Source organism: Homo sapiens, chromosome 20 (assembly GCF_000001405.40).
Source record: "Homo sapiens chromosome 20, GRCh38.p14 Primary Assembly".
NCBI classification, from domain to species: domain Eukaryota; kingdom Metazoa; phylum Chordata; class Mammalia; order Primates; family Hominidae; genus Homo; species Homo sapiens.
This window is the reverse complement of record NC_000020.11, coordinates 22,036,520-22,054,089: the sequence shown is the minus strand read 5'-3', so window position 1 is coordinate 22,054,089 and position 17,570 is coordinate 22,036,520. Positions and strand designations below refer to the sequence as shown.

At 39.7% G+C, this 17,570-nt stretch overlaps 1 annotated feature.

The window, feature by feature from the left end:
• Positions 7,805–8,471: an enhancer, noted in NCBI's record as "OCT4-NANOG-H3K27ac-H3K4me1 hESC enhancer chr20:22026257-22026923 (GRCh37/hg19 assembly coordinates)". NCBI's record gives its function as "activates a minimal SCP1, AML or CMV promoter by ChIP-STARR-seq in primed H9 embryonic stem cells {active_cell/tissue: H9 hESC(primed)}" and the evidence as "EXISTENCE:reporter gene assay evidence [ECO:0000049][PMID:30033119]".

Genomic DNA, 17,570 nt, shown 5'->3' with positions numbered 1-17,570 from the left:
TCCATTCAAAGCAATCAGGACAGCCAAGTGAAAGCAATGCTCAGATTGGTCCACAGGAATTGCCAATCACATTCTGTACCTAGAGGTGGGATCTGCCCAAAGTATGTGTCAGGAGAGTAGAGGAAGACAGATTACCCCAAGAATGAAAGAGGGGAAATCATTACAAACCATGTAGATACTAAAAGGGGGAAAATGTATGCTATACTATACTATCACATACTACAGATAACTCCAGGCTGGTAAACTAGATAACTTAGATAAAACAGGGTGATGCTGCATTTTGGAGTTGAAGATTCCATCCTTTCTTTTGCACCCATATCCTAGATTCTTGGGGTAATCTGTCTTCCTCTGCTCTCCTTATAAGTGAGAACACGTGGTAGTATTTGGCTTTCTGTTTCTGAGTTATTTGATTTAAGATAATGGTCTCTAGTTCCACCCATGTTGCTGCAAAAGACATGATTTCACTCTTTTTTTATGGCTGAGTAGCATTCCATGGAATATAGTTATATACTACCACATGTTCTCACTTATAAATAGGGCCTTAAAAAGGTGTACACATGGACATAGAGTGTGGAATAATAAAGGCTGAATACTTGGAAGGGAGGAAGAGTAGGAAGAGGGTGAGGGATGAGAAATTACTTAAGGTGTACAAATGACATTGTTTGGGTGGTGGTTACATTAAAAGCTCAGGTTTTACCACTATGCAAAGTATCCATGTAACAAAACTGTGCTTGTACTCCCTAAATTTACACAAATAGAAAAAAGGAAAAAAGAACTCAAAAGGAGAAAAATAGTCTACTCTATTTATGTGGCTATTTCTGTTGATCTTCTTTTATTTTTGAAGTTCCAAGTTCCATTTCTTATCATTTCCCTTCTGTCTGAAGAATTTTTTTAAGCAATTCTTTTAGCACAGGTCTGATGGCAATAAACTCTCTTAGTTTTCCCTCATTTGACTATATCTTTGTTAATCCTTCATTCCTGAAGGAATTTTTTGTTGAATATAAAATCCTGGTTTGATAAGACTTTTCTTTCAGCATTTGAAAACTTGTGTCACTTCCTTCTGGTCTTCATGGTTTCTCAAATAACCCAGTACTTAATCATTTTCCCCTGGATGTTTTCCAGGTTTTTCTTTGTCTTTTATATTTAGAACTTTAATTACAATGTATCTAGGCATTGATTTATTTGGGTTTATTATGCGTTGGGTTTGCTTAGCTTCTTCAATCTTTACATTTTTCTCTTTACCAATGCGAAAAGTTTTCACTCATTGTTTCTTCAAATACTTTTCTACACCAGACTCTTTCTCCTGTCTTTTTTTACTCTGATGACATGAATATTAGACTTTTCATTATTGTCCCACAGCCCATGAGGCTCTCTTTTTTTTCTTCTCTAAAATTTTCTGTGTTGTTCAGATTAGATAATTTTTTTTTTGTCTATCTTCAATTTTACTGACTTTTGTCTTTCTTCTCCTTACTGCTATTAAGCCCTTTTATTGAGTTTAGGTCTTCTTATAGCTTCTATTTGTTTGCTGAGACTTTCTATTTTTCCCCTTATTTCAATAGTGTTCACAATTGCTTCTTGGGGCATTTTTATAGTAGCTGCTTTAAAACCTTTGTCAGTCAGTTCCAGCATCTGTGTGTTGTCATCTGTTGACTGTCTACCCTTGCAAGCACAGATTTTCCTCATTCTTCATATGATGAGTAATTTTGAAGTGAATCTTAGACATTTTATTTCTTGTGTTACAAAACTCAGGATCTTGCTTTAATTCCATACAGAATGTTAATATTTTTGTTTTAGTGGCAAATTGACCTGATAAAATTAGGCAACTGTTCCAATTCACCACCTGAGAGCTGTGGTTCTGTCAATTCACTTTTCAAAGCTTTTGCAGTGCAATTCAATGGAGAAATGATAGTTTTTCAACAAATGGAGCTGCAACAACTGTAATTTCACATACAACAAAATCTAGACACAAAGTTTACAACTTTCACAAAATTGATTCAAAATGGACCATAGACCTAAATATGAAATCTAAACGATAAAACTTTTAGAAGATAACATAGGAGAAAATATAGCTGAACTTGGGTTTGTAGATGAGCTTTTAGCTACAACATCAAAAGCATAATCCATGAAAAACTGATGTTAAATTTCATTAAAATTTAAAACTTCTGCTCTGCTATTTAAAAATTAAAAAACAGGCCGTAGACTTATAGAAAATACTTGCAAAACACTTATCCAATAAAGGAATTGTATACAAAATATATAAGGAAATCTTAAAACTCAAAAAAAAGAAATGAAATGAACAACCAATTGAAAAATGGGTAAAAGATCTGAATAGGCAGCTCACCAAGGAAGATACATATGGCAAGTAAATATATGTAAAGAAGCTTAACATCATGATATTAAGGAATTAACAATGAGATCAACAATGAAATATCGCTACGCACTAATTAGAATGACAAAAAAATACAAAAAAAACAACAATACCAAACGATAGTGATGATGTGGAGCAACAAGAACTTTCTCCTTCATTCCTGGTGGGAATGCAAAATTGCACAGCTACTTCAGAAGACAGTTTGGCAATTTCTTATAAAATTAGACTTATTCTTACCATACCATCCAGGAATTTCTTTCCTGTTTTGTAAAGTGAGTTGAAAACTTACATTCATAAAAATCTGCATATTCATGTTTATATCAGCTTTATTCATTATTGCCAAAAGCTGGGATCAAGCAAGATGTCTATCAACTGAAGAATGAATAAACAAACAGTGCTAGATCCATATAATGGAACATTATTCAGGAATTAAAATCAATGAGCTATAAAGCCACAAAAAGAAAGAAAGAACCTTACATGAATGTTGTTATGTAAAATAAGCCAAAAAGAAAAGACTATATATTATAGGATTCCAACTATGAAACATTCTGGAAAAGATAAAACTATAGAGACAGTAAAAAGATCAGTGATTGTCAGGACTTTGAGATTCAAGGAGGGATGAATAGTGCAGCAAGAGGGATTTTTAGAGCAGTGTAAGAATTCTGCATGGAACTGTAATGTTTGATATGTAGCATGCATTTATCAAAACCTGTAGAATGTACAACACAAAAAAATGAATCCTAATGTATGTAAACCATGGCCCTTAGCTAATAATAATGTATCATCACTGGTTCATCAATTGTAACAAATGTCCCACACCAATACAAGATGATAATAATAATGGAAACCTTTGGGAGGCCACGGCGGGTGGATCACGAGGTCAGGAGATCGAGACCATCCTGGCTAACACGGTGAAACCCCGTCTCTACTAAAAATACAAAAAAAAATACTGGCTCAGTGGCGGGCGCCTGTAGTCCCAGCTACTTGGGAGGCTGAGGCAGGAGAATGGCATGAACCCAGGGGGCGGAGCTTGCAGTGAGCCGAGATAGCGCCACTGCACTCCATCTCAAAAAAATAAAAAATAAAAATAAATAATGGAAACCATGAGTGGGGGAAGCAGGGTCATATGGAAACTCAGTATTATCTACTCAATTTTCTGCAAACTTAAAACTGCTGTAACAAATAAAGTCTACTAATTAATTTTTTTAATCCAAAGAAACAAAAAGCCTTGGCAGTGTTCTTTACATCTATCACAGGCACGTGCCCCTAGCAGCTGGTCCAGGCCTAGGCAGTGATCTGTCTCCTGCTCTGCTCTCAGCATCCCCCACGCTTATTACATCAGACCCATGTCAACTGTGTGGACCACTCTCCTGGGCGCCTCTCTCTCCATAACCTCCCATGATTTTCCAGTTCCCTCAAGTACTGTTTTAGGTCTTCTAAAACACTGTTCTGACATGCAATTCTGTAACTATGCATCCAAGGCCAAGGGGTGGAAGGAACAGAGGAAAAAGTGGTAAATTCACCACTAATTTTGGCACTTTAAATTCTGGTTGTTTTTTGAGTCACTTTTCAGAGTCCTCACAGCCACCCTGTGCCTTATGTTCAGGTTTTATAGCCACATCCAGTGAGAGAGATGAGTGAAATGTGCTCACTCCATTATACCTGGGACCAGGACTTCTCATTATTTATTTAGATACTCCAATGACCAGAGCCAAATGGACAAATATGCTGTAAAATGAAGTGGTCTGCACACCTCAAAAATGCCAAGGTTAAGTTAGACAAAAAATACTGAGGAAGTGGCCAAAGTTAAAGCAGACTGAAGAGACAGAACATAACGATAAAGTATAACAACATGGCAAAATTTAAATACAGTCTGTGGATTGAATAACAGTGTTTTATCCATGTTATATGTGCTGATTTGGTAACTATTATGGTTATGGAAAGGGATATCCTTGTTCTTTGAAAATATATACCAAAGAATTTACAGGGCAGAGTGCATGATATCTTTAGCTCACTTTCAAATGGTTCAAAATTCACATAAACACACAAACATACACATATGCACGTGCACACACACTCACACACACACATCCCTGCACATGCATGCAGGCCGAAGGGTGCAGAGGAAGGAGCACCAACAGGAGGATCAGGAGACCCAAGTTCTGGTCCCACTTCCCCTATGAGCCTGCACCAGGGCCAGTCATCAACCTTGTGGTGCCTCGTTTTCCTCTTGTAGAAGGTGGGATCGGAGAAGTGACCTCTAAAATTGCCTCAAACATGCCAAATGTGTGTATAGGAGAAGGATGGATTTCTGTCTCCATGGAGCTCTCATGAATACTGAGGCTTATGTGGTAAAAGAAAGAGGTGGGGGGAGAGAGAGAGAAAGAGAGAAGAAAGAAAGAAAAAAAAGAAAGAAGGAAGGAAAGAAGGAAGGAAGGAAGGAAGGAAAGAAAGAAAGAAAGAAAGAGAGAGAGAAAGAAAGAAAGAGAGAGAAAGAAATGGAGAGAGAGAGAGAAAAGAAAGAAAGAAAGAAAGAAAGAAAGAAAGAAAGAGAGAGAGAGAAAGAAAGAAAGAAAGAAAGAAAGAAAGAAAGAAAGAAAGAAAGAAAGAAAGAGAAAGAAAGGAAGGAAGGAAAGAAGAGAGAGAAAGGAAAGAAGGAAGGAAGGAAGGAGGGAAGGAAAGGAGGGAGGGAAGAGAAAAGAGGGGAGGGGAGGAGAAGAGAGGAGAGGAGAGGAGAGGAGAGGAGAGGAGAGGAGAGGAGAGGAGAGGAGGGTTGAGTTGAGTTTAGGTTTTCTCTTGAAACGAGTCTCTCACTTTGCTCTGATAACAGAGTTCAGGAAAGCTGGAGGTGCCTGACCTCACCACATGGCTGCCTTTCAGCTCCAGCTCTGTCTTCTCTTCCTTCCATCTGCTGTGGGGGAGGGTTGGTGAAGTGCTGCTCGGTGTGGTTTTGAGTAGCTGAGTTGTTTTTCTTATTGTTTCAATGCTAAAGGCAGAAGTAAAGCTAAGGCTTCTGAAGTTCCAAAACCTAAGCATTGAAGCAACTAGATATTCTTTTAAATTCACTCATGGCCATTAACTTCAAAGTCTAAGAGATGGAAATTTAACAGTAGGACTATTACAGAAATACACTTATATTCTGGGAATTATCTTTTGACCTCATGAGAGGTAAATCAGCAGAACTTCGTCTATAAAGCAATGAGCCAGGACCGAGATGGAGAGACCACATGAATCCACTCCCTCTTGCCTCAGAGCTGTAGCTATGATGAGCCCTTTTACAACATGACACAGCTGAAAATCAAAAGGCTAAACAACTTTCTGTAATTTGAACCCAACTCAGTCTCACCCCAAACCTCTGATCTAAGGCTAAGGTATAAGTGACATAAAAGAAACAGCTGGGCTTCTATAGCTAGAATCACAACAGAAAAAAGCACCAAATAAGGTTACTTGATTAATCTCCCTCTTTCAAAGGGATCCTTCTTCCAGTGGGAGCAGCAGAGAAGGAAGGGTTTGAGTTAGACAAACATACATTCAAATTATGCATTGAGTCCTGGGCAAATCACTTAACTGCCCTGAGCCTCACTTTCCCTTTCTGTAAAATGGAATAATAATGGAATCTATCTTGTAGGGTTGGTTGCTGTACAATGCTATATAAGATTTAAAATACCTTGCACAGTGCCCAGCCCTTTGTAAATGCTTAATCTGTGGTGACCCTCCTGAGATCATGAGTGTCATCTTGCTTTATAACACAAGTTTAAGACTCTTCTGATTCTCATTCAAACACCGACAAAAAGCAAAGAAATACAGTCCACCAAGGAAACTTCCTGCTTCCAGAGTGAAATTTTAACTAAAGATTCCCTGGTGTTGGCGCAAGGTCATTCGTCAATATCTACCACAGCATCCCAACATGGCAGCCTCATGCAAATCGTGCAGCACTACCACCTAGAAATATAGCATGAGCCACACAGGCATGTCAGATTTTCCAGAAGCCACATTAAATAAAGAAAAAAGATGAAACTAATTTATAATAAATGTAACCTAATATACCCAAATTATTAACTTTTCAACATGTAATCAACCTCCAAAATATTGGTGAGGTATTTCACATTTTTATAATCTTTTTTTATACTAAGTCTTAGAAATACGGTAAGTCTTTTACACTTAAAGCACATCTCAATTAGGATGAAGTTTCGTCAGAAATATTGATTGGTATTTAGGTTTCATAAAATTTACATTTGAAAAAGTAGATTTATGTGCTGAACTTGTTCTAAATATACTTAGAAGTTTTCCAATGACTAAATTGAGTATTGGTTCTTAAATTCCAATTAAAAAAATTAAAATTAAATAACTTGCAAATTCAGCTCCTCAGTCACACTAACCACAGTGTTAGTCGGGCAGTGCAGTCTTCAACATGGAGACTCTAGGGGACCTCAAAACTTTGTACATGGATTCTGTTGATCTTCCTCTGGATTGAGTCTTTAAGGGTCCAAATAAGAGACACAGTTAAATATCGCTTTTATTTCTGAATGATCAACAGATAAACCCATATTGAAAATGTATCTAACCAAAGACGAACTCTCCAAACATTCATTTATTCAATCTATCAATTACTTATTAATTTATAATTTATTATTGTAAGGTTCACTGAGAGCCACTTTGTGCCACCGCAGAGGGGACACCCGAGGCGTGTCTTTCAGAAGAAGTAGGTGCCAGCCCAACAGTGGGGCAGAAGTAGGAGCTGACACAGGGCATCCTTCAAGCTGACTGTGATGAGCCTTTGGTCATGACTCTGGGGTGTCGTCATTTCATAAGGAAACCACCACCTAGAAACATCTAGGAGGAAAGGCCCCATCCTAAAAGTATTCACATTCCTCACCTGACCCTGTCCTAGGTCACCAGCACACAGCACCTGACCAGCATTCAACCCTCCAACTGACGCCAATGGCTCCAGACACATGTGGAAGGCTGGCCAGGCACTGCTGATGAGAATCTGGTGAACTTCCTCAGGGTGAAGTAGGGCAGGTTCACAAGCCTGTTCCATGAGCTACACACACATACACACACACACACTCTCCACTCAGTGAGTTATTATAAAAGAGGAGCACATGGCAGGGGAGCCAAGATGGCCGAATAGGAACAGCTCCGGTCTACAGCTCACAGCGTGAGCGACGCAGAAGACGGGTGATTTCTGCATTTCCATCTGAGGTACGGGGTTCATCTCACTAGGGAGTGCCAGACAGTGGGCGCAGGACAGTGGGTGCAGCACACCGTGCGCGAGCCAAAGCAGGGCGAGGCACTGCCTCACTTGGGAAGTACAAGGGGTCAGGGAGTTCCCTTCCTTGTCAAAGAAAGGGGTGACAGACGGCACCTGGAAAATCAGATCACTCCCACCCCAATACTGCGCTTTTCTGAAGGGCTTAAAAAACGGCACACTGTGAGATTATATCTCCCACATGGCTCGGAGGGTCCAACCCCCACGGAGTCTCGCTGATTGCTAGCACAGCAGTCTGAGATCAAACTGCAAGGCAGCAGCAAGGCTGGGGGAGGGGCGCCTGCCATTGCCCAGGCTTCCTTAGGTAAACAAAGCAGCCAGGAAGCTTGAACTGGGTGGGGCCCACCACAGCTCAAGGAGGCCTGCCTGCCTCTGTAGGCTCCACCTCTGGGGACAGGGCACAGACAAGCAAAAAGACAGCAGTAACCTCTGCAGACTTAAGTGTCCCTGTCTGACAGCTTTGAAGAGAGCAGTGGATCTCCCAGCACGCAACTGGAGATCTGAGAAGGGGCAGACTGCCTCCTCAAGTGGATCCCTGACCCCTGACCCCCGAGCAGCCTAACTGGGAGGCACCTCCCAGTAGGGGCAGACTGACACCTCACACAGCCAGTTACTCCCCTAAGACAAAACTTCCAGAGGAACGATCCGACAGCAGCATTCGTAGTTCACGAAAATCTGCTGTTCTGCAGCCACTGCTGCTGGTACCCAGGCAAACAGGGTCTGGAGTGGACCTCTAGCAAACTCCAACAGACCTGCAGCTGAGAGTCCTGTCTGTTAGAAGGAAAACTAACAAACAGAAAGGACATCCACACCAAAAACCCATCTATACATCACCATCATCAAAGACCAAAAGTAGAAAAAACCACAAAGATGGGGAAAAAACAGAGCAGAAAAACTGGAAACTCTAAAAAGCAGAGTGCCTCTCCTCCTCCAAAGGAACACAGCTCCTCACCAGCAATGGAACAAAGCTCGATGGAGAATGACTTTGATGAGTTGAGAGAAGAAGGCTTCAGAAAATCGAACTACTCTGAGCTACAGGAGGAAATTCAAACCAAAGGCAAAGAAGTTGAAAACTTTGAAAAAAATTTAGACAAATGTATAACTAGAATAACCAATACAGAGAAGTGCTTAAAGGAGCTGATGGAGCTGAAAGCCAAGGCTCAAGAACCACGTGAAGAAAGCAGAAGCCTCAGGAGCTGATGCGATCAACTGGAAGAAAGGGTATCAGTGATGGAAGATGAAATGAATGAAATGAAGTGAGAAGGGAAGTTTAGAGAAAAAAGAATAAAAAGAAATGAACAAAGCCTCCAAGAAATATGGGACTATGTGAAAAGACCAAATCTACATCTGATTGGTGTACCTGAAACTGATGGGGAGAATGGAACCAAGTTGGAAAACACTCTGCAGGATATTTTCCAGGAGAACTTCCCCAATCTAGCAAGGCAGGGCAACATTCAGATTCAGGAAATACAGAGAATGCCACAAAGATACTCCTCGAGAAGAACAACTCCAAGACACATAATTGTCAGATTCACCAAAGTTGTAATGAAGGAAAAAATGTTAAGGGCAGCCAGAGAGAAAGGTCGAGTTACCCACAAAGGAAAGCCCATCAGACTAACAGCAGATCTCTCAGCAGAAACTCTGCAAGCCAGAAGAGAGTGGGGGGCCAATATTCAACATTCTTAAAGAAAAGAATTTTCAACCCAGAATTTCATATCCAGCCAAACTAAGCTTCATAAGTGAAGGACAAATCAAATACTTTACAGACAAGCAAATGCTGAGAGATTTTGTCACCACCAGGCCTGCCCTAATAGAGCTCCTGAAGGAAGCACTAAACATGGAAAGGAAAAACCGGTACCAGCCACTGCAAAATCATGCCAAATTGTAAAGACCATCGAAGGTAGGAAGAAACTGCATCAACTAACGAGCAAAATAACCAGCTAACATCATAATGACAGGATCAATTTCACACATAACAATATTAACTTTAAATGTAAATGGACTAACTGCTCCAATTAAAAGAAACAGACTGGCAAATTGGATAAAGAGTCAAGACCCATCAGTGTGCTGTATTCAGGAAACCCATCTCAAGTGCAGAGACACGCATAGGCTCAAAATAAAAGGATGGAGGAAGATCTACCAAGCAAATGGAAAACAAAAAAAGGCAGGGGTTGCAATCTTAGTCTCTGATAAAACAGACTTTAAACCAACAAAGATCAAAAGAGACAAAGAAGGCCATTACATAATGGTAAAGGGATCAATTCAACAAGAAGAGCTAACTATCCTAAATATATATGCACCCAATACAGGAGCACCCAGATTCATAAAGCAAGTCCTGAGTGACCTACAAAGAGACTTAGACTCCCACATAATAATAATGGGAGACTTTAACACCCCACTGTCAACATTAGACAGATCAACAAGACGGAAAGTTAACAAGGATACCCAGGAATTGAACTCAGCTCTGCACCAAGCGGACCTAATAGACATCTACAGAACTCTCCACCCCAAATCAACAGAATATACATTTTTTTCAGCACCACACCACACCTATTCCAAAATTGACCACATAGTTGGAAGTAAAGCTCTCCTCAGCAAATGTAAAAGAACAGAAATTATAACAAACTGTCTCTTAGACCACAGTACAATGAAACTAGAACTCAGGATTAAGAATCTCACTCAAAACTGCTCAACTACATGGAAACTGAACACTCTGCTCCTGAATGACTACTGGGTACATAACGAAATGAAGGCAGAAATAAAGATGTTCTTTGAAACCAACGAGAACAAAGACACAACATACCAGAATCTCTGGGACACATTCAAAGCAGTGTGTAGAGGGAAATTTATAGCAGTAAATGCCTACAAGAGAAAGCAGGAAAGATCTAAAATCCACACCCTAACATCACAATTAAAATAACTGGAGAAGCAAGAGCAAACACATTCAAAAGCTAGCAGAAGGCAAGAAATAACTAAGATCAGAGCAGAACTGAAGGAAATAGAGACACAAAAAACCCTTCAAAAAATTAATGAATCCAGGAGCTGGTTTTTTGAAAGGATCAACAAAATTGATAGACCACTGGCAAGACTAATAAAGAAGAAAAGAGAGAAGAATCAAATAGATGCAATAAAAAATGATAAAGGGGATATCACCACCGATCCCAAAGAAATACAAACTACCATCAGAGAATACTACAAACACCTCTACACAAATAAACTAGAAAATCTAGAAGAAATGGATAAATTCCTCGACACATACACTCTTCCAAGACTAAATCAGGAAGAAGCTGAATTGCTGACTAGACCAATAACAGGCTCTGAAATTGAGGCAATAATCAGTAGCTTACCAACCAAAAAGAGTCCAGGACCAGATGGATTCACAGCCGAATTCTACTAGAGGTACAAGGAGGAACTGGTACCATTCCTTCTGAAACTATTCCAATCAATAGAAAAAGAGGGAATCCTCCCTAACTCATTTTATGAGGCCAGCATCATCCTGACACCAAAGCCTGGCAGAGACACCTCCAAAAAAGAGAATTTTAGACCAATATCCTTGATGAACATTGATGCAAAAATCCTCAATAAAATACTGGCAAACTGAATCCAGCAGCACATCAAAAAGCTTATCCACCATGATCAAGTGGGCTTCATCCCTGGGATGCAAGGCTGGTTCAATATATGCAAATCAATAAATGTAATCCAGCATATAAACAGAACCAAAGACAAAAACCACATGATTATCTCAACAGATGCAGAAAAGGCCTTTGACAAAATTCAACCTTCATGCTAAAAATTCTCAATAAATTAGGTATTGACGGGACGTATCTCAAAATAGTAAGAGCTATCTATGATGAACCCACCGTCAATATCCTAGTGAATGAGCAAAAACTGGAAGCATTCCCTTTGAAAACTGGCACAAGACAGGGATGCCCTCTCTCACCACTCCTATTCAACATAGTGTTGGAAGTTCTGGCCAGGGAAATTAAGAAGGAGAAGGAAATAAAGGGTATTCAATTAGGAAAAGAGGAAGTTAAATTGTTCCTGTTTGCAGATGCCATGACTGTGTATCTAGAAAACCCCATTTTCTCAGCCCAAAATCTCCTTAAGCTGATAAGCAACTTCAGCAAAGTCTCAGGATACAAAATCAATGTACAAAAATCACAAGCATTCTTACACACCAATAACAGACAGAGAGCCAAATCATGAGTGAACTCCCATTCACAATTGCTTCAAAGAGAATAAAATACCTAGAAATCCAACTTACAAGGGATGTGAAGGACCTCTTCAAGGAGAACTACAAACCACTGCTCAAGGAAGTAAAAGAGGATACAAAGAAATGGAAGAACATTCCATGCTCATGGGTAGGAAGAATCAATATCATGAAAATGGCCACACTGCCCAAGATAATTTATAGATTCAATGCCATCCCCATCAAGCTGCCAATGACTTTCTTCACAGAATTGGAAAAAACTACTTTAAAGGTCATATGGAACCAAAAAAGAGCCTGCATTGCCAAGTCAATCCTAAGCCAAGAGAACAAAGCTGGAGGCATCACGCTACCTGACTTCAAACTATACTACAAGGCTACAGTAACCAAAACAGCATGGTACTGGTACCAAAACAGAGATATAGATCAATGGAACAGAACAGAGCCCTCAGAAATAATGCCGCATATCTTCAACTATCTGATCTTTGACAAACCTGAGAAAAACAAGCAATGGGGAAAGGATTCCCTATTTAATAAATGGTGCTGGGAAAACTGGCTAGCCATATGTAGAAAGCTGAAACTGGACCCCTTCCTTACACCTTATACAAAAATTAATTCAAGATGGATTAAAGACTTAAATGTTAGACCTAAAACCATAAAAACCCTAGAAGAAAACCTAGGCATTACCATTCAGGACATAGGCACGGGCAAGGACTTCATGTCTAAAACACCAAAAGCAGTGGCAACAAAAGCCAAAATTGACAAATGGGATCTAATTAAACTAAAGAGCTTCTGCACAGCAAAAGAAACTACCATCAGAGTGAACAGGCAACCTACAAAATGGGAGAAAATTTTCTCAACCTCTCATCTGACAAAGGGCTAATATCCAGCATCTACAATGAACTCAAACAAATTTACAAGAAAAAAACAAACAACCCCATCAAAAAGTGGGCAAAGGACATGAACAGACACTTCTCAAAAGAAGACATTTATGCAGCCAGAAAACACATGAAAAAATGCTCATCATCACTGGCCATCAGAGAAATGCAAATCAAAACCACAATGAGATACCATCTCACACCAGTTAGAATAGAAATCATTAAAAAGTCAGGAAACAACAGGTGCTGGAGAGGATGTGGGGAAATAGGAACACTTTTACACTGTTGGTGGGACTGTAAACTAGTTCAATTATTGTGGAAGTCAGTGTGGCGATTCCTCAGGGATCTAGAACTAGAAATACCATCTGACCCAGCCATCCCATTACTGGGTATATACCCAAAGGAATATAAATCATGCTGCTATAAAGACACATGCACACATATGTTTGTTGCAGCATTATTCACAATAGCAAAGACTTGGAACCATCCCAAATGTCCAACAATGATAGACTGGATTAAGAAAATGTGGCACATATACACCATGGAATACTATGCAGCCATAAAAAATGATGAGTTCATGTCCTTTGTAGGGACATGGATGAAATTGGAAATCATCATTCTCAGGAAAGTATTGCAAGAACAAAAAACAAAACACCGCATGTTCTCACTCATAGGTGGGAACTGAACAATGAGAACACATGGACACAGGAAGGGGAACATCACACACTGGGGACTGTTGTGGGGTGAGGGGAGGGGGGAGGGATCGCTTTAGGAGATATACCTAATGCTAAATGACGAGTTAATGGGTGCAGCACAGCAGCATGGCACATGTATACATATGTAACTGACCTGCACATTGTGCACATGTACCCTAAAACTTAAAGTATAATAATAATAAAATAAAATAAAAGAGGGGGCAAAGGTAGGAAGAAAAAGTAAAACATCTTTTATGCTTTCATGAAAGCCTTGAAATAGAATGTTAAAACTACTGGGTAACAGCAAAGTACTAGCATGCTTCATGGTTTTGGATTCTGTGATAAGAGGGAAGGCTGATGTTCATGTGCACAGTATACTCCCCTGAAATTCACAAGCATTTTATGGAAAATTGAAATATCATGAATAAATTGCAATCACCACAAAAAAAAAAAAAAGAGGAGCACATCTTCAAAATCTTTAAAACAGGACATAGAACAATAGAGTAGCTTGATGGTGAACTCAGCATCTTTGTGTCTGTGTTCATGTGGCATTCATTCATTCATTCATTCTTTCATTCATGGACAAATGTTTACTGAGCTAGCAACTGCAAGAAAGTTCTGACAATATTCCTGTGAAAACACAGTGTGTCTGCCCTCTTGAAAGTCACAACCTCCTAGGGGAGACGTGAAGTCTCCAGGTTACAAAGTTAAAAAGCATCCTCAATAATTTAATAATAATGGCCATGTACTGGAAGCTTCCAATGTGCCTGATACATTATCCTATGTGAGTGTGTTACTAACTCCACTGTGCAGATGGGGTAGTTGAGGCTCAGAGAGGCTAAGTCAGTTGCCTAACTTTACACAGTAATTAGTAGCAGGACCAGGACCAAAACCTAGTTTTAGGTTGCCCCCAAATCTCTCTTCTTAACCATGGGGCAATGCGGTACTCAGTTGCTTCACTTCTACCTTACACACAAGCTCGTCTACCTGAGTGAAGGAATGGAGGTAAAGAATAAAATAGCAGCAAAAAAGTACAACTAATTTCTTTTTATCCCATCAGAGTAGGATTGACCCAAGATTTCAAACCCGAGATTTCGTGTTAGGAATAATTTATTGTCTTATTGTAAATTCATGTTTTTCTATACTACCATAAAACTTGTTAATATTTGTGATATTAAGTAGTCCTGAAGAGGTTAATTGATGTTCAATATGACTTAATTGAGATGGCAGAGAAGTGTGTATAATGTTTCAAAAGAATTTCCACTAGAATAACTAAAATAAGTTATTCTTTATTATTCCCTGGTGATGCAATGTAAATGAAGTTCTTTAGTAGGCAATTGGGAGTAAGGTTGACCTGACTTTAAATTCTGTTCCTAACATTTACTAGCTTTGTAAACTTGAGCAAATAACCTCTCTGTACCCCTGTTGTGCATCTATAGAGTGGGCTTAATAATACCAACTTATGAGTGCTATTGAGACATTGATGGTCAACTATGTTTAGAGCGTAAAGCACCCAGCAGTGCATCCAGCACACAGTAAGATGGGAAAATCAATTTATGAGATAACAAGTAAAGGGTGCATAAATCTAGAAAAGACACTCCAAGACACGTATATGCTCAAAAATATATTTCTATATTCTGAACTAGAGAATACAGCCAGTGTTGGGGGGTAGGGTTGGAACTGCAGGCTTCTCATACTACTTCCTTCACTGAAGAGTCATCAAGAAGTTGAATGTGAAGGCTGGAGCAGTATTAGTAATCATCTGGGGAAGGACAGAAGGTTCTGTGTTTAGACTATTATGGTCCAAAGCTCGAGAATGAATAAGAAGAGCTGGAAAGAACAGCAAATGTGTGGAGAACGTAGTGAACGTAGTGAACGTAGTGTGAGAATGACAGCAGAGTATACACAGGCAATGGGAGGTTGGCTTTTGGGCTACACAACGTGGGTCAGGAAATGTTTTTTATAAATGGACAAACAGTACATATTTTAGGCTTTGTGGGCCATACAGTCCCAGCTACTCAACTGAGGAGCACATGGCCAGATGCCCAGGCCACACTCTTAGATCTGTTAGATTGTAATCCCTGAAGGTAAGACTCAGGTATAAGACTTTGCAAAGATGTAAGGGTCCTCACTGGTGTGGGTCATGGACCATTCTCATGTGTGCTGGTAAGGGGCTATGACCATAACTGGTACCCACTGTGGCAATCATATAAACCAGCACATGCTTAGCAATAAGAGGAAATGGGCACTGGAAATGTGGGTCTGGGATTGAGGAGAGAAGCTGTGGTCGGAAGTTTCTATCCAATTGAGAGTTCCTAGCACAATACTGTGAGAGAGAGAGAGACGAGAGCCTGTGAGTGAGTGAGTCCTGATACAGCAGATCTAAGGCCCCAACCAGGTTAGCTCCCTTCCCTTCATCAAGTAGTAATTGGTCGGCGACTTTAACACATGTCATATTGACACATTCATTCAGCTGCAGATTTTCAGACTGGGCACTACAGCAAAATGGAGCCGCTCTTCCAACATTCAATATCCATTTACCTAGAGCATCATGAGCTTAGTGGGAACTGGTGCTTGCAGAAGCCACGGGGCAGCAAGACCTGAATTTGGGCAAACTCTGCATTTTATGAAGCACACTTGTATAGCTGATCATGGAGAGAATAAAAATCACATTCTCAATTTTAATAAGGTAATCAAATATATATAAAATAAAGATCTACAAGAGCATTTTATTACTTCCAATCAATTCTGCAGAAGTGGATGCACTGAACAAAGACTCAGAAATTATTCTGATTGTAATGGTCACCAGAGCATGTTCCAAAAATATAAACCTATGATCTTACACTCATTCCTGTATAATGTTAAGTAAAAAGCAAACCATATGTTTACGATTAAATTTGAATTGAGAATTAAGGTATTTTGGCGACTGAATTGAGTAGCAAATCATTAACACAAAATTACCTCTCAAAAGCATCATATAATAACATGAAACTAAGACTATCCTAACCACAGAGCCCCCAAAAATGTATATTCATAGAGGTGAGATGGACCTAAGTACCTACTGGGCTCCAGGCCTTGCATCGGTCTTTATAGATGCTACCTTGGTTAACTTTCATATTTCATCATATCTGAAGGTAAGTATTGGTTTGACCATGTGAAATTAGAGGTTTTTATTTTTGTAAGAAAATTGGGTTTACATAGAAAGAGAGCCATTTGAAATTCAAGCCCAGATCAACATGCATCTTCTATAGTTTAAAGAAAATAAGACCAAAAGAAAAATGTTGGCCAGGCGTGGTGGCTCACGCTTATAATCCCAGCACTTTGGGAGGCCCAGGCTGGTGAATCACGAGGTCAGAAGTTCAAGACCAGCTGGCCAAGATGGTGAAACCCCATCTCTACTAAAAATACAAAAAAAAAATTAGCCAGGCATGGTGGTGGGCACCTGTAATCCCAGCTACCTGGGAGGCTGAGGCAGAGAATTGCTTGAACCCAGGAGGCAGAGGTTGCAGTGAGCCAAGATCACGCCACTGCACTCCAGCTTGGGTGACAGAACAAGACCCTATCTCAAAAAAAAAAAAAAAAAAAAAAAATTCTGTGGATAAACTAACTCTCAAATTTTAAGGTTTTTAAAATTTTAAGGTCAGATTTTCCTCATATTTATTTCTACAGGAATTGCCACAGATACTCAATGATTTTCAAACTCACACATTGTCTTAATATGCCAATAATTAATGCCATCTCCACGGATAAACTACAGATCATTAGAACTTACTGTAATGTGATATTTGGATAACTTCTCCATTCTAATCAGAAAAACATTAAAAACAAACAGAGAAAGTCTTACAGTTGTGTTTTTTAGGTTTTCAGGTTTCCTAGACTAGGCTGATACTTCTCCAAGCAGCCTCGAGGCAAAGGAATGTGCCTGTGTGGGTTCTTCCAGGTCTAGTTCTCTGCCCCACATGTACTTCTCTGCACCTAGATCTGTGTTAAGTCTTTAGACTTAATATGGCTATCCACGTGGACTTGGCAAGTTTGCCTAATACTTAACATACATAGCTAATAAGGCAAGTATCAGATAAGCACTTTCACTAACCTCTGAAAAAGAGGCCAGGCGTGGTGGTTCACGCCTGTAATCCCAGCACTATGGGAG